We start from the raw sequence: 25,632 nt of genomic DNA, 5'->3' as shown, positions 1-25,632 counted from the left end.
TTTTTTTTTTTTTTTTTTTTTTGAGACAGAGTCTTGCTCTGTCGCCCAGGCTGGAGTGCAGTGGCGCAATCTCAGCTCACTGCAAGTTCTGCCTCCCAGTTTCACGCCATTCTCCTGCCTCAGCCTCCTGAGTAGCTGGGACTACAGGCACTCGCCACTGTGCCCGGCTAATTTTTTGCATTTTTAGTAGAGACGGGGTTTCACCGTGTTAGCCAGGATGGTCTCAATCTCCTGACCTCGTGATCCACCCACCTCAGACTTCCAAAGTGCTGGGATTACAGGCATGAGCTACCGCACCCGACCAATTTATATATTTCTGATAAGATTAAGGTATTCCTCACCTACCAGGCAAAGCAAAGACCAGGTTCTCTGGAGTCATCTTTCATGAGAAAATAGATGCTGACTGCTTCGAAACATGTATTGATTAAGGTAGAGGCATTCACCAACCACTAACTGGGCTGGGATTATCAATTTATTGTTTTCCTTTGTGGAGAGGATTTCTGGGTGAGGAGAAAATTATTTTGCCTTTAATTATATTTTCCCAACGTTTAAGAAATAAAGAATATTTCTTGGACAGTTGAGTGCAGTTTGTATTTACTAGTTTATTTATTTAGCTATTTATTTATTTATTTATTTATTTGAGATGGAGTCTTGCTCTGTTGCCCAGGCTGGAGTATAGTGGTGCAATCTCAGCTCACTGCAACCTCCATCTCCCGGGTTCATGCAATTCTCCTGCCTCACCCCCTAGAGTAGCTGAGATTACAGGTGCCCGCCACCACGTTTGGCTAATATATGTATTTTTAATAGAGACGGGGTTTCACCATTTTGGCCAGGCTGGTCTCGAACTCCTGACCTCAGGTGATCCACCTGCCTTAGCCTCCCAAGGTGCTGGGATTACAGGTGTGAGCCACCACGCCCAGCCTGTATTTACTAGTTTAGATGCACTAAATCCTTCATAGACCTTTGGTTACCACGAGGGGTGGGGAATCCTTCAGTTCTTGGTCTTCCTCAAGGAAGGAATTCAGTCAGGAGACACACAGAAAGAGTTAAAGGGTTAAGTAAGCTTTATTTAAAAAGAGAGGACATCAGAAGAATGAGCCAGCTGCTAGTGCCTTAGTTTTTATGGGAGCTTTTAAAGTCATCAAAACAGTACACCCAGAAAGACAGAACAGGGCGGGCTGATCAAAAGGACGTGTCTACTCCTACTAATGGCTGGGCAGATGTTTTTATGAGAACCTTACATGATTTTTCATGAATGTGCCATTCAGAAGCGTTCTGAGTAGCCAGGCGCAGTGGCTCACGTCTATAATCCCAGCACTTTAGGAGGCCGAGGCGAGCGAATCACCTGAAGTCAGGAGTTTGAGACTAGCCTGACCAACATGGTGAAACCCCATCTCTACTAAAAATACAAAATTAGCCGGGCATGGCGGCACATGCCTGTAGTCCCAGCTACTGAGGAGGCTGAAACAGGAGAATCAATTGAACCTGGGAGGTGGAGGGTGCAGTGAGCCGAGATCGCACCATTGTACTCCAGCCTGGGAGACAGAGCAAGAACTTGTCTCAAAAAAAAAAAAAAAAAAAAAAAAAAAAGCAAAAGGCTGTTCTAGGATGGGTTATTAGAGAAGTGCTGACTGTCTGTGGGCAGCATCACCAAGGAAGCTATCAGTGGGCTGCGTTTCTAAAGATTCCTTTCCCAAGGGCTCTCTTGCCTGCTCATGCCTGCCTACCTGCCTACCCTAATATTTCCCTCCTCAAGAGATGGAGACCCTGAAAAGCTCTGGTTGTAAGGACGTCGTGGGTCTTCTGTAACTACTTCCTGCTGACATGGGGCGAAGAAGTCATCAGGGTCTCCCTCTCTTGCTCTGTCTCAGAGAGAAAATTCCTCCATAGTTTCCCGGAATCTTTGCCCACTGGCATCCAAGGGGGAGATGTGCTTATAGGTGCTGGGGCCTCCAATGACAGATAGCTGATATCTTTCCATTTGGGGGGACTTCATGTGAAATTGCTTTATCCTAGAAGAGACACACTTAATCAGTAAATTAAAGAAACAAGGGCCAAAGAGGAAAAGTAAGAGTATAACTGTTGCTGGTCCCAGTAAAGGGACAAACCAGTTGAGGGAGGGGAGGGCAGACTTCACAGCCTCCCAGATGGCCCTTGCTGAAGCACCTCCTTTTCCAAAGTCATGGAGCCACGTAGCCTCATCATAGATCTTTTTTATATCCTCCTCTATCGCCCCACTGTTATTGACATAAACGCAACAGGATTTATTGATCACTGCACAGACTCCACCCTGCTCTGCTAAGAGGTAATCTAAGGCCAATCTGTTGTCCATGACTACATTTGCTAGAGAATCTATGGAGGCCTTGAGTTTAGAGATGCTATCTCTGGTACTCTTAGCTATGTTGTCTATTTGTCTGGAGAGATTTCTGAGGGTGACATCATGATAAGTGAACCCTCCCCATGGGGCGATCATTCCTATGGCCGCACCCATCCCTGCCAGTATTAGACCCAGAGCTCTTTTCTGTCTGGGTTGGGTGGTGTTATAAATGGTCACACCTATCCCCCGTGGTCCCAAAAGTCCCACAGCACATTCTCCCGTATGTTGGATGTTATTAATGCAAGTGTAGAGGTTTGCCACAGGGGGGGTTGAATAGGTTATCTTAGGACTTCCATCAAAGGGCAGTTTATTTTTTTGTGGCCCACATAAAAATACATAGCCAGGAGGGGTACAGGCCCACCGGGGGATGTGGCTGTCGAACCACTTGTGTAACTGCGATTTCCACCCTGCTGGAATAGTTTGATTGCATGCAGGGGATAGAGGCCCTCCCAGGGGAACAGTAGATTTTGGCCATGTGGGGACAGTGTGTGCCTTGGGAAGCGAATATAGAACCCTCCATGTGATTAGCTCTTTTCCTTCCCAAGCTGCACAGCGGTTTTGGGGTGACTTGTCTCGATAATCGTTCATTTGTTTAGCTGGACACCAGTGAGTCAAGTTAGGGTGGCAGCCTGCTGGGGAGAAGCTCATGGGATGGATGGTGGGACTGGGGAATCCCTCCTCAGAGGTGTTCTTCCTGTCACAGTGTCCTTCAGGGCATGGACAACAGGTTTGGTTTAGAGAAGAGCAGTTGTAGAAATAGAAAGAAGTTTTAGAGCTTTGATTGAAAGGTGGAGTGAGATCCAGGCAGGGGACTTGGTGCGCTGAGTTAGCAAGCGAAACCTGGAGCGGAACAGATTTATGTTGGCCTTCAGGGATTCCTGAACCAAATGTTAGGTTTAAAGAAAAATTTCTTACCAAAATATATTGGTAAGATGAGGACCTGGTGATGAAGTTGTGGCAGATCCAACAGTTGCTTAGATGGTTTCCCGAAGCAATTATTTTGGAAAAACTGACAAGGGAATTTTCATTCCACTGTGCCTGTGAGAGTAGGGGCATGGGAAGGAGGGAAAGATAAAGGAAAAGGAATTTCTCTGTCATAGCTGATTCTCCCTTAAGCTTTGTGAAAGCAAAAGGAAAGTGCTGAAAATAGGAGAGACAAATAATGAAGTGGTTCGATGGAGTGTTTAGTGAGAAATCAGGCTGTTATCGGGACTTCAGGTGGCATGCCAGTTGGGTCAAAATAAGGAGAAGAACCAATGCCACCGCAACCAAGATTCCCCGTACTGAGATTGACTTTAGTTTTGGGTGAACAGAGAGAAGGCTTTACTTATCTTTTCACTTGAAGTGGAATTTTAAGTTCTCCAGTGGCTCACAAGAATGCTCAGGTGCTGAATTCTGTTGTTCTTCTGTGGTTCTTCGGGACCTTCCCACAGTTTCACTTGAGACTGATGTATCCAACTGGAGATGCCAGAAATGTTGATAGCTGTTGGGGTGGAAAGTAAGACAGTAAAGGGGTCTTTCCATAAGGGAGTTGAGACCCAGATGACCCATCTCTCCAGGTTTTTTGACCCTGGTTGGTATAATGGGTGTTGATTCCTGAAAGGGTCAAGAGCAGGCAGTACCTTTTGTCCAAACTCCTGAATGGCTTGTATTTTTTTTTTTTTTTTTTTTTTTGAGATGGAATTTTGCTCTTGTCGCCCAGGCTGGAGTGCAATGGCGGGATCTCGGCTCACCGCAACCTCCGCCTCCCAGGTTCAAGTGATTCACCTGCCTAAGCCTCCCGAGTAGCTGGGATTACAGGCATGTACCAGCATGCCCAGCTAATTTTGTATTTTTAGTAGACAAGGTTTCTCCACATTGGTCAGGCTGGTCTTGAACTCCTGACCTCAGATGATCTACCTGCTTCAGCCTCTCAAAGTACTGGGATTACAGGCATGAGCCACTGTGGCTGGCCTTTTTTTTGTTTGTTTTTTTGAGATGTAGTATTGCTCTTGTCTCCCAGGCTGGAGTGCAATGGTGCGATCTCAGCTCACTGCAACCTCCGCCTCCTGGGGTTCAAGTGATTCTCCTGCCTCAGCCTCTCGAGTAGCTGAGATTACAGGTGACCGCCACCATGCCCGGCTAATTTTTTTGTATTTTTAGTAGAGATGGGGTTTCACCATGTTGGCCAGGCTGGTCTCAAACTCCTGACCAGCCTGGTCACCTGGCCACCTGGTTACCTGACAGGTGATCAGCCCACCTTGGCCTCCCAAAGTGCTAGGATTACAGGCGTGAGCCACCGCCCTTGGCTGTTTCCTTTCCTTTTCTTTTTCTTTTGAGCCCGTTTTGCAGCCTTTACAAAAATCAGGGTTTTCCCACGAGATCATGAAGATTTTCACATAAGGGACTTCTGACCATTTGTGTTGGTGTTGGCAGTAAAGGTCAAGCTGGAATATGGTATTAACATTTAAGCTCCCCACCTTTGACCAAACTATATTGCAAAGGAAAATCAGTCTCTTGTTTTACAATCTGGGGATCAACCTTTTCCCAGATTCCAAGGGGATCCAGGAGGGGAATCCTGGGATATAAAGATCTGATTACCCATCTGAAAGACAAGACAAGAGAGAATGCAGGATAGAGGAAGTGTCCCTTTACCTATTTGGTGACTCATGAAGGTCAGGCATTCCAATCCTTGACCTAAATGAGGTGTCTCATGCCTCTCCCTGCAAGGGTGAAGTGTCCTTCACCTTGGAGCTCTGGAATTAGCCCTACTGTGTGCTCTGCTGTTTGCATTTCTTCCTATTGTTTTGCTCAGAAGGATTTCTTAGATTTCCTGGGATTGATGCCCAGCAGTGATGCCTTCCACTCTTCCGTGTTGGGTAAGGACGGGTGGAAGAATGTCTGCCATGAGAGTAGTTCTCTTCTCTTCTCTCATGTTCCCAGTGACCTTGGTTCTGCAGGAAGCCCAGTAGTTGTGCCCCTGCTGAATTCTGCAGAGAAGGGACTTCTAAAGTCCTTTTTTTTGAGACAGTTTCTCTCTTGTTGCCCAGGCTGGAGTGCAGTGGCGCTATCTTGGCTCACGGTAACCTCCGCCTCCTGGGTTCAAGCGATTCTTCTGCCTCAGCCTCCTGAGTAGCTGGGATTACTGGTGTCCACCACCATGCCCAGCTATTTTTGTATTTTTAGTAGAGACGGGGTTTCTTTTTTTTTTTGACATGGAGTCTCACTTTGTCACCCAGGCTGGAGTGCAGTGGCACGATCTCAGCTCACTGCAACCTCTGTGTCCAGGGTTCAAGAGATTCTTCTGCCTCAGCCGCCTGAATAGCTGGGATAACAGATCCATGCCACCAGGCCCGGCTAATTTTTTAGTAGAGACAGGGTTCCACCATATTGGCCAGGCTGGTCTCAAACTCCCGACCTCGTGATCTGCCCGCCTCAGCCTCCCAAAGTGCTGGGATTATAGGCATCAGCCACCGTGCCCAGCCGATACGGGGTTTCTCCATGTTGATCAGGCTGGTCTCGAACTCACAACCTCGGGTGACACGCCCGCCTTGGCCTCCGAAAGTGCTGGGATTACAAACGTGAGCCAATGCGCCCAGCCTAGGTCTTCTTAATACATAATGATATTGGGCTAATACTAATGATTACAGGAACGGAAAAGATGTGATATCTTCCCCCACTCTTAAAAGGTTCCTTGGGGTTTATACAGAAAAAAATGCTTGAAAAGCATAGAAGACCCCCTGGGGCTCAGAGTTAGTGAACTGGGCTGTTGATTCTGGTTTTTTAGTCCATTATATGATCACATAAACAGCAAGGGGAATGTGAGAAGCATTTTCTATCAGCTTATTCAACAAAAAGCAAAAAGGACCTGAGTACTTCACGGGTCTGTTACAATGGCCTAATGAGGTGGAGAAAGCAGTCTCCTGTGGCCCATTGGAAACCCTGGTTGTACAGAGAAACTAGGGAGTAAGGAAGTGGTCACAGGTGACCCTCTGGAAGAGCCAGGCAGTTCCATTGAGGAGTCACAGAATGAGGCATTCTTGAAGAGTAGGCAGGCGGAGAAGGACCCAATAATAAGTGAGGGATTTCTTTCTTTCTTTTTTTTTTTCAGACAGAGTTTCGCTCTTGTTGCCCAGGCTGGAGTGCAATGGTGCGATCTCGGCCCACTGCAATGGCCAGCTCCCGGGTTCAAGCGATTCTCCTGCCTCAGCCTCCCAAGTAGCTGGGATTACAAGCGTGTGCCACCACGCCCGGCTAATTTTTGTATATTTAGTAGAGATGGGGTTTCACCATGTTGGCCAGGCTGGTCTTGAACTCCTGCCCTCAGGTGATCCACCCCCCTCAACCTCTCAGAGTGCTGAGATTACAGGCATGAGCCACCGTGCCCGGCCAAAATGAGGGATTTCTTTAAGCAGGCATCCTCCCAGTGCCGGTCCCTCCAGTGAAACAGGAGGCAAGGGAAAGGACAAAGCTGAGTCTCATTTCTGAGGAAAAAAGTATAAACATCAGCATAGGCCCTCAAAGGACTCTGGCGCCTGAGTGAAGCAAACGCAGCAGGTCCTGGATAAACAGGCCCTGCAAGAGGCTTGCACCCGCAGGAAGAATTCATGAAATCCCTGCGGCGAGGAGAGGGACAGCAAAGAGTAAGCAGAGTGACCTGGGAGATTAATCAACGGTGGGGGCATATGGTGTTCAGGGGAGTGAACGGCCATGAATGGCAAGTATAAGAGCTGACTTAACACCGGATTGTAGTTTTAATTAAAAGATATGCGCCGGTCGCAGTGGCTCACGCCCGTAATCCCAGCAGTTTGGGAGGCCGAGGTGGGCGGATCACGAGGTCAGGAGTTCGAGACCAGCCTGGCCAATATGGTGAAACTCTGTCTCTACTAAAAATACAAAAATTAGCCGGGCATGGTGGCACACGCCTGTAGTCCCTGCTACTCGGGAGGCTGAGGCAGAAGAATCGCTTGAACCCGGGAGGTGGAGGTTGCAGTGAGCCGAGATCACACCACTGCGCTCCAGCCTGGGCGACAGAGTGAGACTCTGTCCTCCCCCCCACAAAAAAAAATATGAAGCTCCCCAGTCACTGCACAGCCAGGCGTATTCCCTGCCACCTTCACAAGCCTCCTGCAAGAAGGGTCACCATGTGTCTCAGATCTACTCACTGTGGAGTTTAAATCCTCCCTCCTCTGCTTATCACCCCTCAGGGTGAGCTGAGAAATCAGCCAGAGGGAGCAGAGTGACAGTGGCTGAAGGGAAATGGTACTGGGCAGTCGTTAGTGAACAGAGCCTGAGAGGAAAAACCCCTCCCCTTAAAGCTGCCAGATCTGCATTAGGGCAGGAGGTTCTTCAGTGCAGAAAGAAGCAGAGGTCGTCAACCAGAGAATCTGGCACCAGCTTTTTGGTACTTACCTGGATAACCAGGCGAGGTAACCAGGTAACCAGGTGAAAACACCAGATGTTACCCAGAGGGGTGTGGAAGTCCTCTGGTTCTTGGTCTTCTTGGATTCAGTCAAGAGATGCGCAGAAAGAGTTAAAGGGTAAATGCCCTTCATTTAAAGAGACAGGAGCTCAGAAAGAAGCGACACCCTGAACGACAGAACCGAGTGGGCTCCTGAAAAGAAGGAGTCTGTCCTTACTTATGCTGGCCTGACCCTTTTAATGAGAACCTGACATGATTATTCATGAAGGGGCCGTGCACAGCCATTATTAGTAAGCATGTTCTGGGAAGTCATTTGGGCAGGAATGTGCTGTGACTGTCCATGCACACATCACATATCTCCTTAGCATCTCAAATCTCCACCCAGGGGTGTGGCTTTTTTTTTTTTTTTTTTGAGACGGAGTCTCACTCTGTCGCCCAGGCTGGAGTGCGGTGGCGCTATCTCGGCTCACTGCAAGCTCCGCCTCCCGGGTTCACGCCATTCTCCTGCCTCAGCCTCCTGAGTAGCTGGGACCACAGGTGCCTGCCACCACGCCCAGCTAATTTTTTTTTTGTATTTTTAGTAGAGACGGGATTTCACCGTGTTAGCCAGGATGGTCTGGATCTCCTGACCTCGTGATCCACCTGCCTCGGCCTCCCAAAGTGCTGGGATTACAGGCATGAGCCACCGCACCCAGCCCTTATTTATTTTTTTCTAAAATCATATTTGAAAAAAGGGGATGTGTTTCTTAGTATTATAATGAGCAAAAGGCCATTCTAGGATGAATTATTAGAGGAGTGTGCACGCTCCTTAATAGGGAAAATCCCCTAGCTGGGTTATTTCTGGCTAGGGCCAGATAACTCCCTTCCTGGGCCAGACAAGTCCAGCCACAAGGACAGGTGTAGGCAATGTAGCCACTGTCCTGCTTTTGCTGTCAAAAGGGGATTGTCAGTGGGCTGTGTTTCTTAAGATTCCTTTCCCAGGGGCTCCTTTAACTGCTCATGCCTGGCTACCTACCTACTCCAAGCTGGTTTGTGGACAGAAATACTTTATTTATTTATTTTTTGTAAAGGTGTCTCACTCTGTCACCCAGGCTGGAGTGCAGTGGCGTGATCTCGGCTCACTGCAACCTCCAGCTCCCTGGTTCAAGCGATTCTCCTGCCTCACCCTCCCGAGTAGCTGGGATTATAGCCACATGCCACCACGCCCAGCTAGTTTTTGTATTTTTAGTAGAGATGGGGTTTCACCACTTTGGCCAGGATGGCCTTGATCTCCTGACCTCATGATCTGCCTGCCTCAGCCTCCTAAAGTGATGGGATTACAGGCATGAGCCACTGAGCCTGGCGCTAGAAAGACTTTTAAAGTAGTATCTAGTTCATCCACATTTGTATGTTTCTTCTATTCAATCTGAATGCAAATTTACCTGAAGGTTTTCCCCTGAGATCACAGAGAACAACTTTCTTCACCTTAATTTTATTTTCAGCTGGGCATGGTGGTGCACACCTGTAATCCCAACACACTGGGAGGCTGACACAGGCGGATCACTTGAGTTCAGAAGTTTGGGACCAGCCTGGGCAACGTGACAAAACCCTATGTCTACAAAAAATACAAAAAAATTAGCTGGGCATAGTGTCGTGACCCTCTAGTCCCAGCTATTGAGGAGGCTGAGCTGGGAGGATGGCTTGAGCCCAGGAGGTGGAGGGTACAGTGAGCTGTGATCATGCCACTGCACTCCAGCCTAGGGGACAGAGTGAGACCCTGTCTCAAAAACAAACAAAAAACAAAAAAACCCAATCAACATAAGTTTATTCTCATTAGGTTATTTCTCTGATCACAAGAGAAAATGTCTCTGAATTACCTTCCTTTGTCAGGGCTCAGCTGGTACCAAAAAGGATGTCAAGAAAATTTAGATTGAGGTCGGGCGCATGCCTGTAATCCCAGCACTTTGGGAGGCCAATGTGGGTGGATCACGAGGTCAGGAGATCGAGACCATCCTGGCTAACACGGTGAAACCCTGTCTCTACTAAATATACAAAAAATTAGCCGGGCGAGGTGGCAGGCGCCTGTAGTCCCAGCTACTCGGGAGGCTGAGGCAGGAGAATGGCGTGAACCTGGGAGGCGGAGCTTGCAGTGAGCCGAGATCGCGCCACTGCACTCCAGCCTGGGCAATGCAGCAAGACTCTGTCTCAAAAAAAAAAAAAAGAAAATTTAGATTAATATGAGAATGTGACATGGATCTGACATATAAATTAGTGTTTTTATTGTCAAATTGTGACCAAATAATTCATGAAGCTGTGAGAATATGTTTTCCCATGATCAGCAGAAAAATGTATAAGGGAACACTATTTTTCTTAATATGACCCTAGCTTTCTGCTTAATTCGACAGTTACAGAGACCCTTGAAGTTAGAAATGTAGAGCCATATCTTCCAACAAGAACTGATCAGTGTCTTGCATGTGATCGAAATGAATACCACACAGCCGAAATGCACATTGAGGACCCTTCAATGTCATTCAAAAACTGAGGTAAGGAGCAAAGTTTGCTATTGTTCTTATTACTTTTAGTTCTGTTTTTCAAGTAGAACACATGTATTTATTATTTTTTAAAATCTTTGTTTGGGCCGGGCGTGGTGGCTCACGCCTGTAATCCCAGCACTTTGGGAGGCTGAGGCGGGCAGATCACGAGGTCAGGAGATCGAAACCATCCTGGCTAACACGGTGAAACCCTGTCTCTACTACAAATACAAAAAATTAGCTGGGCGTGGTGGCATGCGCCTGTAGTCCCAGCTACTCGGGAGGCTGAGGCAGGAGGATGGCGTGAACCCAGGAGGCGGAGCTTGCAGTGAGCCGAGATTGCACCACTGCACTCCAGCCTGGGCAACAGAATGAGATTCTGTCTCAAAAAAAAAAAAAAAAAAAAAATTCCCTGAATAGGTCACAGCAGATGCTCATCCCCTGCCCTGTACCTGGTGCTTTCTAGCCTTGCTTCCTTCTTTAGAGAAAAGAAAAGCCCATTTCTTGTGACTCAAACATTTGCAGATCTTGTGGTTGGAGCATTCTCCCTACCACAATATACTTTTTGAATAGAATCTCTTCTAACCAATGTCCAAATTTGTTCTTTGACAGTAGTAAACATTTTCATTGTTCCATCTGTGTTAGAATATGTACATTCTCTTTTTTGTGTGTGACACAGGCTATAATATATACTCAAGAGATGAAAGTACTTCCTGGATGGGCTAAGTGGTTCATGCCTGTAATCCTGGCATTTTGGCAGGCTGAGGTGGGAGGATCACTTGAGACCAGGAGTTTGCGACTGGCCTGGGCAACATGGCAAAATCCTGTCTTTACAAGCAATACAAAAATTAGCCAGGCATGATGGTACATGCCTGTAGTCTCAGCTACCAGGAGGCTGAGGTGGGAGGATCACCTGAGGCTGCAATGAGCAATGATCATGCCATTGCACTCCAGTCTGGGTGACAGAATGAGATTCTGTCACACACACATACACACACACACACAAAGTAGTTCCTACTTTAACTTATTTGAAAAAAATCCATATTAATTTGCATTTCTCTTATAATGATATTACAAGGAGGTGTAATAGGAAAATAAATCTCAGACCCCAAAATCACTTAGCCAAGGGAAAAGTCAAGCTGGGAACTCTGTCAGGCAAATATGCCTCCCATTTTATTCCTTATTCCTAAATAAGATAGCTACAAAGATTTTTAAAAGCTACATACCTTCCTCAAAATTTACCTACAAGGAAATTCCTTGTGGACAAAGGACAGACAGAACTCAGTGTCATCCCTCTGCTCACATGAGACAAATGCGTATCTGATTTTTTCCTTTGTCCTATTGTTTCACTAAGCCAGACTAAGGCATAAGTGACTATTCCTGTAAATCACGAATTCAGTGAAAGCCTAATCTGAAACTCCAAAAGAATGCAACAGTTTGTCTGTTATCTACCTATGACCTAGAAGCTTCCTCCCTGATTGAGTTGTGTGACTTTCCAGACCAAGTCGATGGACATCTTTCATATATTTCTATTTTATTTTATTTTTTAAATTTGAGACAGAGTCTCACTCTGTCGCCCAGGCTGGAGTGCAATGGCCCTATCTCAGCTCACTGCAACCTCCACCTCTCAGGTTCAAGCAATTCTCCTGCCTCAGCCTCCCGAGTAGCTGAGATTACAGACACGTGCCACCACACCAGGCTAATTTTTGTATTTTTAGTACAGACAGGCTTTCACCATGTTGGCCAGGCTGGTCTCCAACTCCTGACGTTGTGATCCGCCCACCTTGGCCTCCAAATTGTTGGGATCACAGGCATGAGCCACTGCGCCTGGCCCACATCTTTCATATATTGATTAATGTCTCATGTCTCCCTAAAATGTGTAAAACCAAACTGTACTTAGACTACCTTGGGCACATGTCATCAGGATTTCCTGAGGCTGTGTCACAGGCATGTTGTTAACCTTGGCAATATAAACTTTCTAAATTGATTGAGACCTGTCTCAGGTACTCTTCGTTGACAAATTGGTGACCCAAGGAAGTAACTCTGAGTAGAGTGGGCCCTGACCTTTGACGATCTCCTATTGGTGCTTGGTACCAGATTGAGCTATCCTTATGGCTCAAACCAGTAGGACAATTGGCTGAGGCCTGGGAGCTCCCTCTCTAGAGAATCCCTGATCTATCAAAATTTGGTTGAGATCTTAACTTTATTTTGCTGTACATCTTTTTCTGGAGTTTTACTTGCTTCCAATAAGGAAGGCACGTTTTCCTGCTTCCATGACAGTAGAAGGCAGGTAACTCCTTTCTAAAGTTTAAGCTCGCTTCCAATTGGGAAGGTGAATTTCAGTTTTTTTCCTCCTCCTAGGATGGTATACCCATTCCTAGGTATGTAGGTGAATTTGGGGTTCTGTCTTGGCTAAAGTTAAGATTAATAACCAGCTGGTTTAAATTTCTCCTTACCATTAGAGCACTCAGTAATCATATTGTTTGGGGGTTTTGTGTTATTATTTGTGCGTTCTTTCTCCCATCAGATGTTTTAGGTTTTTGTTTTGTTTTGTTTTTCTTCAAGGAAGTTTCGATCTTGTCGCCAAGGCTGGAGTACAATGTCACAACCTTGGCTCACTGCAACCTCCGCCTCCCAGGTTCAAGTGATTCTTCTGCCTCAGCCTCCCAAGTAGCTGAGATTACAGGCATGCACCACCACACCCGGCTACTTTTTGTATTTTTAGTAGAGACAGGGTTTTGCCATGTTGGCCAGGCTGGTCTTGAACTCCTGACTTCAGGTGACCCACCTGCCTCAGCCTCCCAAAGTGCTGGGATTACAGGCATGAGCCACTGCACCCGGCCATTGCTTATTATTTAAAGCAAAAATCGGTGATCTAACATCACTGAACCTGAAACCACCTTTGCAAAAATCATGATAGTGAGAGAAATCTAACCTAATTGTTGCTTCTAACCTCACAAGCTGTGTTTGCTCATTACTGGGCATTGGCCCAGCTAACTATGGGTGGAATTCAGTTTATAGTTATGACTTTGAAGAAAGGATGATACTAGTCCCTCCCAAAGTGACCCTCTCAGGTGACTGAAACCAACTTTCTAAGACTAATGAAAGGCTAAATGTTAGGATTATGGGAGGTAACTGAATTCTGCTAAAATGTAGACAGAAACAATAACCAGTGATTTGTAATTTCTCAGTTGCTCCTGTAGATAACACTACTATTGTGAAAACCTAAGATTGGTCTTTGAGGTATTTTTCAGACTTTTACAATTGGGCAGAGTCATTCAGGCCACCTGGACGTCTTCTTCACTGGTACCAGAGAACTGGCACTGCCCGGTCCTGTGACCGTCACCCAGAAACTGACTCAGCTCCAGGAGGCCTGTTTTGAACCCTCTTATGATTTTCTCCACAACTAATGAGCCACACCAATTCCCTAGCCCCTTGCTCTCCGAATTATCCTCAAAACCCTAGTCTCCCAACTTTTCGGGCGACAGATTTGAGAACTAACTTCCCCCTCTCCCAACTTGTTCCACTTGGCTAGCCCTGCGATAATTAAACTCTTTGCTGCAAAACTCTCCTGTTTTCAGTGCACTGTCTCTTCTGGGCAGAGACAAGATGAATCCAGGGTGATGACAGACCTAGCTTTCCATGCTTAACACCCCAGGTGTTGCGTCTATGAAAGTCTCTGGAGGCCAGGCCCAGTGGCTCACGCCTGTAATCCCAGCACTTTGGGAAGCCAAGGCTGACAGATTTGAAACTACGTTTCCAAAAAAAAAAAAAAAACAAAGTCAGTCTTTGGAAACAAGTACAAGGTTGACTCTCTGGAGTAAATGGAGATTAGAAAATAAAAGGATTTCTAGGGCCAGGTGCGGTGGATCACGCCTGTAATCCCAGCACTTTGGGAGGCTGAGGCAGGCAGATCACGAGGTCAGGAGATCGAGACCATCCTGTCTAACACGGTGAAACCCCATCTCTACTAAAAATACAAAACATTAGCCGGGTGTGGTGGCGGGCGCCTGTAGTTCCAGCTACTTGGGAGGCTGAGGCAGGAAAATGGCGTGAACCCAGGAGGCAGAGCTTGCAGTGAGCCGAGATCGCACCACTGCACTCCAGCCTGGGTGACAGAGCAAGACTCAGTCTCAAAAAAATAAATAAATAAAAAATAAAAGGATTTCTATTTTGTTTTGTGGGACATCAGCATGGGATTGATCCATCCCCCCATGCAGAGTTTGCCTTTCACGTTCCAGTTTGCATCCCCTTCACAGACAATTCTGGGGCTTTTAAATTAAGTTGCTAAACTTTTTCAATAGCAGGAATTTTCCTGGATCCAATCACCAACGGTTTGCCCTGCCCCAGGGAGATCCTGCTGAGTTGCTTCAGCCTCACTGGTAAATGTTGCCTCCTAAACCCGAAAAATAGAGATGCCATGGGAGCCAGAAGAGGAAAGCATAGGCCCCCCCACTCCGCGGAGGCCCCGCCCCCTTCCTTCTTCCCTCCCGACGCCGTCGCTCGCGGGACCCGCCCAGGATTCCGCTCTGCGCTTAGTTTCCTGCAGACCCGGAAACAGATCGCGCGGAGTGAACCTGGTATGGCGGCGCGTGGATTTCCCTCTGTCTATTATTAAGATTAAACTTGGGCTTCGCAGTCCTCTCACCTCCATACCCCGGATTTGGAGGTTCGTACACGCCTGAAAATTCTCATACCGCTCCCCTCACTGCTAGTAAGTCACACATCGCTATGAGACTCTTGGGGTCGTTTCAGTGATTTGGGGTAAAATCATTCTGAGGCTGGTTCCGTCGCCGGTGTTTCTGCCTTCAGGTCATGTAGACATGTTCTTTCCTTAAATTTTTCCGTTCGAAACCCTGTACTGACCCCTCATCCTGCCCCGCACTTTTTCAAGTCCTCACCCGCGAGGTGGAGTCGCGTCCTGGGCGCCTCCCAGCCTCGCCCTCGTCGGCCCCGCAGCCCCAGTCCCAGGGAGGCTGCGTCCTCTGCCTGGCGGGATCCTGCAGACCCCACCCCTATCCTAAGGCGCCTTCGCCCCCACCTCCCTCCAACTCTTGCTGGGCCCTGCTGCTCCCCAGGCCTCTCGTTTGCAGTCCCCGCTTCCCCTGAGCCCGCGTTAGGGAGGTGCCCAGGGCCTGTCCTGTGACACCTGGTGTTCTTGCCTTCCCAGCTCCACCCCCTGGAAAAATGTGCTCCTGCGGGATGCAGGTGTCTTACCCTAAACCCTCCTGTGAATGTGTGGGCCAAGGGGATCTGGAAACAGGGACTGCGAGAGAAGTAGACAAACTGAGACAGAGAATGAGGGAAACCCATAAACAGATGGCAAAATGGAGGATGCGTGGGGGATTCGCGAAGAGACAGGAAGAGTCAAAGAAGAAGCTGAGAAAGTAACAGGATGGGGAAACAACTGGAGAAATGTAGAGAAAAGCTCCATGTCCAGAAAGGTGAAGGACAGCAAGGTAGGGAGAGGGGCAGCAGAGGGGAGGCTCCTCAGACAGAGAGTGAGGGAGAGGAGGAGGGATTTGGAGCCACGGCAGGCAGCAGCGTGGTGCTGGGACAGCAAGAAGGGGCAACTGGTGACAAGGAGAGCAGAAGAAGAACCACAGCAGGGTGCTCAGGGATTATTGGTTCAAATTCATTAAAAGCTATAGGCCTGTTCAGATTGTGTGTTTCTGTTTGAGTTTTGGTGCTGGAACAACTGGACATCCAAATGCAAAAAAGAAAAAAATCCAGACAAAAACCTCACGTTTTGTGCATAAATTAACTCAGAATGGATCATAGACCTCAGTGTAAGCCTAGGGATCTGAGGGTGCTAGAGACTGAGGACAAGGGGGTGTAAACAGGGAAGAGGGAATTTAACAGGGGAAGCAGAGATGGGGAAAGACAGAGGCAGAAATGTATGGACACTGGGGACAATCCAGTGATTGGGGAGAAAGAGGGACAGGAGGTGAAACAAGTTGTAAGACTGGAGCAGAACAGGTGGAAAAGATGGAATAGCAGGAAGAAGCGGAGAAACAGCAAGAGAGGAGAGAGGCTCAAAATGAGGAGCAGAAACCCAGGGGGAAACAGAAAAGAACCCAAGAGTTAGAGAAGATGAGAATGAGAGATATGTACGGAATAAGGGAGGGAAACACAGAATAATGAACAAGGTTGGGGGTGTTGATTGGATGAGTTGATTAAATTGTGACATATTGATTTCTCTGTTTATAATATAACACATATTAAATTTTAAATTTTTTTCTGGGTGTGGTGGCTCATGCCTGTAATCTCAGCACTTTCGGAGGCCGGGGCAGGCGGATCACCTGAGGTCAGGAGCTCAATACCAGCCTGGCTAAGATGGGGAAACCCCGTCTCTACTAAAAATACAAAAATTAGCCGAGCCTACTGGTGCACGCCTGTAGTCCCAGCTACTCGGGAGGCTGAGGCAGGAGAATCACTTGAACCCTGGAGGTGGAGGTTGTGGTGAGCCGAGATCACACCACTGCACTCCAGCCTGGGCGACAAAGTGAGACTTTGACTCAAAAAAAAAGAAAAAGCTTTAGAGCAGAACTGAAAGGAAGGAAAGTACACTTGGAAGAGGGCCAAGTGATCGACTTGAAAGGCAAGTGTGCAGTTTGACCTTTTGACTTAGGGTTTTATACGTTGGCATACTTCCGGGGTCTTGCTTCCTTGGGGTGGGCTGTTCTTGCCTTGGGGTGGGCTGTCCACATGCACATGCTTTAGTCCACTCGCCCAACTCCTGAGATCTCATGGGAAGAGGCTGATCACCAGTTTCAGGTGTTTTCTATCTATGCCTTTCCCTGGTGCCGGCTGTGACTAATTATTATTTTAGAGAGACAGTTAACAACCACCTGACCATCACCTGATGGTTGCCTGGCTCATTCCTGATGTGTGTGAATGGGGAGGGGGAGCCCTCTCCTTCTCATACCAGGTAAGCTACCTACTGTAACAAAATGTCATTGCAAATCTTTGAAACATCCTGCCTGACATGTTTGCTCACTCACGCATGCCTTCCCTCAGTCCCTCTCATCTCACTTAGATTCCATCCTGCATGACCTAGTGACATGAACTTCTGAAGAGGCTCTGCTGGGCATGGTCCTTGGAAGGGCTGACACCCAGACATGGATTGGAGATGGGGTGTGGGCCTTGTGGTTTCAGTGCTTCTGGGGAGCAGGGATTGTTTAGGAGCCACATTTGGATGTATGCCACCTCTTTGTAGACCAGGATTCAAGAAGTTGCCCATGACGTCAGGTATTAATATGCACAAGTTCCTGTTGAATGCTTTAAAATGAGAACACTATGGGGAAATCTTTCCTGCCTCGTTTTTATTATATTTGGAACTGAACAAGTGAGTCACTGTGTTTCTGAGTTCAAACTCTTAATGACTGGGAATGGAATGGAAAGTTTAGATGGAAACATCAGTGATAGGATTTTTTCATTCCTCACATTTTAATATATGAAGTCAACATAAATGTCAAACAGCAGGAGATACATTAAACTATTTTCAGACAGACCAGAACAGAGATGTTGTATTCCTGGAGGAACCCCTGTGAACTGTGTTTTAGGTGAGAATGGTTATCACTGTGCTCATACAGTGAATCACAGCTTCTTTGCCATTGGAGAGAATTGAACCATTTTTTTAACCCAATAATTATTAAATATTCTATTTTATTTTGAACATCACATGGTGAATGTTTTATAGTAAAACTCCAAACTTATAGCTTAGGCACTAAGATGTAACACATCGTCTTTTCTGTTCCGCTTCCTTCCTCGTGCTCAGTGGAGAACCACCATTCTCAGTTCATGGCAAGAGTCAGCACAAGATTTATAGTAACGTATTTATACATCGATATGAGATTTAAAACATGTTTTTCAGTGAATGTTTTATTGTGATATTTTAACCTGCAAGTTTTGAGATTTTACTTTTGTGTTGGGAAACAGGAGCTCGCTCTTCTACATCCTTGCTGGAGCATTCTCTTTTGATGCACAGAAGTTTTTCATTTAGATGTAGTTCCTTTCATCTGTTTTTGCTTTTCTGCCAGTGCTTTTCATATTGTATCCAAGAAATCACAGCTAAATCTCATGTTCTGGTATTTTCTTCTCTTTCTAGTTTAAATGGTTTTTTAAAATCATGAACAGTATTGGATTTTCTCAAATACTTTTTATGCATCAATTGAGCTGATCACGTGATTTTTGTCCTTCACTTTGTCAGTGCGGTGTACTACATTGACTTTTTTTCTGTTTTTTTTTTTTTCTTTTTGTCTAATTTTTAGTCACCTATATGTTCTTCCAGGCTTCAGCTTTGAAAAAAAAAACTTTTTTTCTTGGGGCTGGGCTTGGTGGCTCATTATTCCCAGCACTTTGGGAGGCCAAAGTGAGCAGATCACCTGAGGTCGGGAGTTCGAGACCAGCCTGACCAACATGGAGAAACCCCTTCTCTACTAAAAATACAAAATTAGCCAGGTGTGGTGGTGCATGCCTGTAATCCCAGCTACTTGGGAGGCTGAGGCAGGAGAATCACTTGAACCTGGGAGGCAGAGGTTGTGGTGAGCCGAGATCGTGCCACTGCACTCCAACCTGGGCAACAAAGGTGAACTCCATTTCAAAAAAAAAAAAAAAAAAGTTCAGCAGTCAGCTGGGCGCTGTGGCTCACACCTGTAATCCCAGCACTTTGGAAGGCCGAGGCGGGCGGATCACCTGGGGTCAGGAGTTCAAGATCAGCCTTGCCAACATGGTGAAACCCCATCTCTACTGAAAATACAAAAATTCAGCACTTTGGGAGGCCGAGGCGGGCAGATCACAAGATCAGGAGATCGAGACCATCTGGCTAACACGGTGAAACCCCATCTCTACTAAAAATACAAAAAATTAGCCAGGCGTGGTGGTGGGCACCTGTAGTCCCAGCTACTCGGGAGGCTGAGGCAGGAGAATGGTGTCATCCCAGGAGGTGGAGCTTGCAGTGAGCTGAGATCACACCACTGCACTCCAGCCTGGGTGACAGAGCGAGAATCCGTCTCAAAAAAACAGAGAAAAAACAAAAATTAGCTGGGCGTGGTAATGCACGCCTATAATCTCAGCTACTACTTGGGAGACCGAGGTGGGAGAATCACAGGAAAGGCAAATCCATATCTGGCCTAAGTGTCTATTCCAGCAAGGACAAACTGCTGCCCTTTCCATGATGGAAGACCTGCCACCAAGTACCTGGCTGATCACTCCCAAGGAATGGTGCCATATTGAGGGCTCAGTGTTGGTCTCTGCTCCTGGCAAATTGGGCACTCAGCGGTGGCCATAGCCAGGTCAGCCTTGGTGAATGGAAGTCCATATTGCTGAGCCCATGTGTAACCTCCATCCCTGCTACCATGGCCACTTTGTTCATGAGCCCATTGGGTGATGACAGGAGTGGCTGGGGAAAGAGGCTGAGTGGTATCCACAGAATGAGTTATCCTATCCATTTCATTATTAAAATCCTCCTCTGCTGAGGTCATCCTTTGGTGAACATTCATGTGGGACACAAATATCTTCACTGTTTTTGACCACTCGGGTCCATCAACATTTGGATGGAAGTTCTCCAGATTTTTCTGCCACCAATTTTCCAATCATGCTTCTTCCAAGTCCCTGACCATCCAGCCAAACCATTAGCTACAACTCATGAGTCAGTATAGAATCACACATCTGGCCATTTCTCCTTCAAACCGAAGTGCACAACCAGCTGTGCTGCTCAAAGTTCTGCCCACTGGGAAGATTTCCCTTCACCACTATTCTTCAGGGATGTCCTAGAAGGTGCTGCAGCTGTCTACTTTCAGGTGGTAACTGCATATCATGCAGAACCATCTGTAAACTGGGCCCTAGTCTTCTTTTGCTCTGTTAACTGATCATAGGGAACTCCCCATGAGGATGTTGATGCAGGCTGAGGGAGAGAAGGCAGGATGGCAGGAGTAGAGACCATAGGCATTTGAGCCACTTTCTCTTTTTTTTTTTTTTTTTTTTTTGAGATGGAGTCTCATTCTGTCACCCAGGCTGGAGTGCAGTGGCACAATCTCAGTTCACTGCAACCTCCACCTCCCGGGTTCAAGCGATTCTCCTGCCTCAGCCTCCTGAGTAGCTGGGATTACAGGCATGCACCACCACACCCGGCTAATTTTTGTATTTTTAGTAGAGATGGGGTTTTGCCTTGTTGACCAAGCTGGTCTCGAACCCCTGACCTCAAGCAATCCGCCCACCTTGGCCTCCCAAAGTGCTGGGATTGTAGGTGTGAGCCACCATGCCTGGCCATTTGAGCCACTTTCTCATGTAACTTCCTTGTGCCTTCAGGAACTGCTTGAGCCCAATCACATATATACCATTTCCATTTGATGATGGAATGCTGCTGGGCATGCACAGCTTTATGGCTCCATGAATCAGAAAATACCCAGTTCATGATAGGCAGATCAGGTCTCATTGTAACTTGGTGACCCATAGTCAAATATTCAGTTTCTACCAAGGCCCAGCAACAGGCTGGGAGCTGTCTTTCAAAAGGTGAGTAGTTATCTGCAGAGGATGGTAGGCCCTTGCTCCAAAATCCCAGAGGCCCCACTATGATTCACCTTTAGGGGCCTGACAAAGGCTCCAAACAGCATGCCTATCTGCCACTGACACTTCAAGTACCATTGGATCTGCTGGGTCATATGGCCCAGTGGCAGAGCAGCTTGCACAACAGCTTGGAGCTGTTGTGGAGTCTTCTGTTCTGGACCACACTCAACATTGGCAGCCTTTTGGATCACTTGATAAATGGGCTGGAGTAACACACCCAAATGAGAAATGTGTTGTCTCCAAATCCAAACAGGCCCACTAGGCGTTATGCCTCTTTCTTTGTTGTAGGAAGGGCCAAATGCAGCAACTTATCGTTCACCTTAGAAGGAAGATCTTGGCCGGACGCAGTGGCTCATGCCTGTAATCCCAGCACTTTGGGAGGCCGAGGCGGGCGGATCACCTGAAGTCAGGAGTTCAAGGCCAGTCTGACCAACATGGTGAAACCCCGTCTCTACTAAAAATACAAAAAGTTAGCCGGGTATGGTGGCGAATGCCTGTAATCCCAGCTACTCAGGAGGCTGAGGCAGGAGAATTGCTTGAACCTGGGAGGCAGAGGTTGCAGTGAGCCGAGATCGAGTCATTGCACTCCAGCCTGGGCAACAAGAGCAAAACTCCATTTAAAAAAAAAAAAAAAGAAAAGAAAAATATCTTGACCGGCCCCACACCACCGGACCCCTAGAAATTTCACTGAGGCGAAAGAATCCTGAATTTTACCCAGATTTATTTCTCATCCCCTGGCATACAAATGTCTCACCAATAAATTCAGTGTGGTTGCTACTTGTTGCTCACTGGGCCCACTCAGCATAACGTCATCAATGTAAAGGAGCAGTGTGATATCTTATGAAAGCGAACTGATCAAGATCTCTGTGAGCAAGATTATGACATAAAGCTGGAGAGCCCGTATTCCTCCAAGGCAGGACAGGGAAGGTATATTGCTGGTCTTGCCAGCTGAAGGCAGATTCCTTCTAGTGGGCCTTATGGACAGGAATGGAAGGAAAAAAAAGCAGTTAGCCAAATCAGTGGCTGCATACCAGTTACCAGGAGATGTGGTAATGTGCTCGAGCAGTGAAACCACATCTGGTACAGCAGCTGCCATTGGAGGCACCACTTGGTTGAGCTTATGATAATCCACTGTCATTCTCCAAGATCCACCTGCCTTCTGCACAGGCCAAATAAGAGAGCTGAGTGGAGATGTGGTGGGAATCACCACCCCTGGATCTTTCAAGTCCAGAGACATGATGTTGTTGTTTTTGTTCGTTTTTGAGATGGAGTCTTGCTTTAACGCCCAGGCTGGAGTGCAGCGCGATCTCAGCTCACTGCAACCTCCACCTCCTGGGTTCAAGCGATTCTCCTGCCTCAGCCTCCCAAGTAGTTGGGACTACAGGTGTGCGCCACCACGCCCAGCTAACTTTTGTGGGGTTTTTTTGTCTTTTTTTTTTTTTTTGAGACGGAGTCTTGCTCTGTCGCCGAGGCTGGAATGCATTGGCGCCGTCTCAGCTCACTCCAACTTTGACCTCCCAGATTCAAGCGATTCTCCTGCCTCTGCCTTTTGAGCAGCTGGGATCACAGGCACATGACACCATGCCCAGCTAATTTTTGTATTTTTAGTAGAGATGGGGTTTTACTGTTGGAGCTGGTCTCCAACTCCTGATCTCGTGATCTGACCACCTTGGCCTCCCAAAGTGCTGGGATTACATGCGTGAGCCACCGCGCCCAGCCTGTATTTTTATATTTTTAGTAGATACGGAGTTTCACCATATTGGTCAGGCTGGTCTTAAACTCCTGACCTCGTGATCCACCAGCCTCAACCTCCCAAAGTGATGGGATTATAGGTGTGAGCCACTGTACCTGGCCTGTGATGTTTTTTATTTGCAATTCTTCTAGATGGAGGCAGCTCTAGTGGCTTCCGTTTGGCCTTTCCCACCATAATAGCCCTCACTCTACTAGTCAGCAAGCTAATGCGGGGATTCTGCCTGCTGCTAAGTATGTCTATTCCATTTATGCATTTTGGCACCGGGGAAATGACCACAGGATGAGTCTGGGGACACACTGGACTCACTGTAAATCAGACCTGAGCTAAAACTCCATTAATTATCTGATCTCCCATAAACCCCTACTGTAACTGAGGACCAAAATGATGTTTTGGGTCCCCTGGAATCAATGTTAGCTCAGAGCCGGGTCCACTAGTCCCCAAAAGGTCTGATCATTCCACTTTCCTCAATGCATATTTACCCTGGTAAAAGGCCAGCGGTCTCCTTGGCAAAGGATGGGAGAAAGATTGACAGTATAAATTGTCGTGCAGTGAGATCTTTTCTTAAGGAAATCCAGCTTCCCTTTCATTCAAGGGATCCTGGGTCTGTAAACTGGCTCAAGTCTGGAAATTGAGGGGCCATAAGTCTCGCTAGTTGGTCCCTACCTCCTTAAGATCCAGTTATTCCCACTGCATTTAAGTTTTTCAATTGAGTGACTGGTTCCCATTGTAAGATCTGGCATACAGAGAAGATCAATCACAGAGCTCTCCAAGGATGCAGGTGCTCCCTTCACAAATCTATTTCACAAGTGAAGACTAAGCTCTGATTTTTTTTTTTTTTTTGAGATGGAGTCTTGCTCAGTTGCCCAGGCTGGAGTGCAGTGGCACGATCTCAGCTCACTGCAACCTCCACCTCCCGGGTTCAAGCGATTCTCCTGCCCCAGCCTCCTGAGTAGCTGAGATTACAGGCACGTGCCACCAAGCCCGGCTAATTTTTGTATTTTTAGTAGAGATGGAGTTTCACCATGTTGGTCAGCCTGGTCTCGAACTCCTGACCTCGTGATCCACCTGCCTTGGCCTCCCAAAGTGCTGGGATTACAGGCATGAGCCACCGCGCCAGGCTCAAGGGAATTATTTTCATCAGCATACTCCAATGATGGTCTTCTCCTTTAAAAGACACATAAACACACATGCACACATACAGAATAAAGCCATTTTTTCCCTTCTGCTCGCCCATCTTGTTGGGGGAAGAAAGATAGGTCAGACTGTTACTTTGTCTATGTAGAAAAAGGAAAACATAAGAAACTCCATTTTGATCTGTTCTAAGAAAAATTCTTCTGCCTTGAGATGCTGTTAATCTGTAACCCTAGCTCCAACCCTGTGCTCGCAGAAACATATGCTGTGTTGACTCAAGATTTAATGGATTTAGGGCTGTGCAGGATGTGCTTTGTTAAAATGTGTTTGCAGGCAGTATGCTTGGTAAAAGTCATCACCATTCTCCAGTCTCGAGTACCCGGGGACACAATGCACTGCGGAAGGCCGCAGGGACCTCTGCCTGAGAAAGCCTGGGCATTGTCCAAGGTTTCCCCCCCACTGACATAGCCTGAGATATGGCCTCATGGGAAGGGAAAGACCTGACCATCCCCCAGCCCAACACCCGTAAAGGGTATGTGCTGAGGAGGATTAGTGAAAGAGGACGGCCTCTTTGCAGTTGAGATAAGAGGAAAGCATCTGTCTCCTGCTCATCCCTGGGAATGGAATGTCTCGGTGTAAAACCTGATCATACATTCTATTTGCTGAGATAGGAGAAAACTGCCTTATGGCTGGAGGTGAGACATGCTGGGGGCAATACTGCTCTTTACTGCACTGAGATGCTTGTGTAAAGTCAAACATAAATCTGGTCTACATGCACATTGAGGCACAGCACCTTTCCTTAAACTTATTTATGACACAGAGTCCTTTGCTCACATGTTTTCCTGCTGACCCTCTCCCCACCATTACCTTATAGTCCTGCCACATCCCCCTTGCTGAGATAGTAGAGATAGTGATCAATAAATACTGAGGGAACTCAGAGACCAGTGCCGGTGCGGGTCCTTCGTATGCTGAGCGCCGGTCCCCTGGGCCCAAGGCTCCGTGTCTTATTTCTTTTCTCAGTCTCTCATCTCCACCTTGCGAGAAATACCCACAGGTGTGGAGGGGCAGGCCCCCTTCACCATCTTTAAAACAAAAATTAGTGGTAACTATATTTCCCTCTATGGTAATTCCCCTCTTCTGAGCCCCTTTGAGAATGTCATACTCGTGGCCAGGCACAGTGGTTTACGCCTGTAATCTCAGCACTTTGGGAGGCTAAGGCGGGTGGATCACCTGAGATCAGGAGTTTGAAACCAGACTGGCCAACATGGTGAAACCCTGTGTCTACTAAAAATACAAAAATTTGCCAGGCGTGGTGGCACATGCCTGTAATCACAGCTATTGGGAGGCTGAGGCGGGAGAATTGCTTGAACCTGGGAGGTGGAGGTTGCAGTGAGCTGAGATTGCACCATTGCACTCCAGCCTGGGCAACAAGAGTAAAACTCCATCTCAAAAAAAAAAAAAAAAGAAAAGAAAGAAAGAAAGAATGTCATACTCTGAAAGCTTGCTTTTACTTTCTCTTCAAGTCTTGCCTCCAACTTTTACTTGAACCCTTGAATTCTTGCTTGAATCAAACATTCACTTCCAGCATTCAACTGATCCCTTCTTTTTCAATCATCAGTGACTTCCCATTTCTTTCTTTCTTTTTTTTTTTTTTTTTTGAGACGGAGTCTCACTCTGTCATCCAGGCTGGAGTGCAGTGGCATGATCTCTGCTCACTGCAAACTCCGCCTCCCGGATTCAAGCAATTCTCCAGCGTCAGCCTCCTGAGTAGCTGGGATTACAGGCATGCACCACCACACCCAGCTAATTTTTGTATTTTTAGTAGAGGCGGGGCTTCACCATGTTAGCCAGGCTGGTCTCAAACTCCTGACCTAAGGTGATTGTGATTTGC

General features: G+C 47.1%; 1 protein-coding gene and 1 long non-coding RNA gene across 2 annotated transcripts in view, besides 1 other annotated feature; one reads left to right on the top strand and one right to left on the bottom strand.

The window, feature by feature from the left end:
- Positions 1-1,046: 1,046 nt before the first annotated feature.
- On the bottom strand, positions 1,047-7,987 carry ERVV-2 (endogenous retrovirus group V member 2, envelope). Its single transcript, NM_001191055.2, has 2 exons — positions 7,769-7,987; positions 1,047-3,860 (listed from the first exon to the last, which is right to left on the bottom strand). Exon 2 carries the CDS (start codon positions 3,473-3,475, stop codon positions 1,868-1,870), a length of 1,608 nt encoding a protein of 535 aa, NP_001177984.1. The 5' UTR covers positions 3,476-3,860; positions 7,769-7,987; the 3' UTR covers positions 1,047-1,867.
- A 6,856-nt stretch (positions 7,988-14,843) lies between these two features.
- The window catches only part of LOC124904758 (uncharacterized), a 31,324-nt gene continuing 20,535 nt past the window's right edge, over positions 14,844-25,632 (top strand). The window contains exon 1 of the long non-coding RNA XR_007067327.1: positions 14,844-14,957. This is a non-coding gene — a long non-coding RNA (uncharacterized LOC124904758). The remainder of the gene's footprint in view (positions 14,958-25,632) is intronic.
- Positions 23,951-24,489: an enhancer, noted in NCBI's record as "NANOG hESC enhancer chr19:53531491-53532029 (GRCh37/hg19 assembly coordinates)". NCBI's record gives its function as "activates a minimal SCP1, AML or CMV promoter by ChIP-STARR-seq in naive H9 embryonic stem cells {active_cell/tissue: H9 hESC(naive)}" and the evidence as "EXISTENCE:reporter gene assay evidence [ECO:0000049][PMID:30033119]".

Source organism: Homo sapiens, chromosome 19 (assembly GCF_000001405.40).
Source record: "Homo sapiens chromosome 19, GRCh38.p14 Primary Assembly".
NCBI classification, from domain to species: Eukaryota; Metazoa; Chordata; class Mammalia; order Primates; family Hominidae; genus Homo; species Homo sapiens.
Note: the sequence above shows the minus strand (reverse complement) of the source record. Positions and strands in the feature narration are given on the sequence as shown.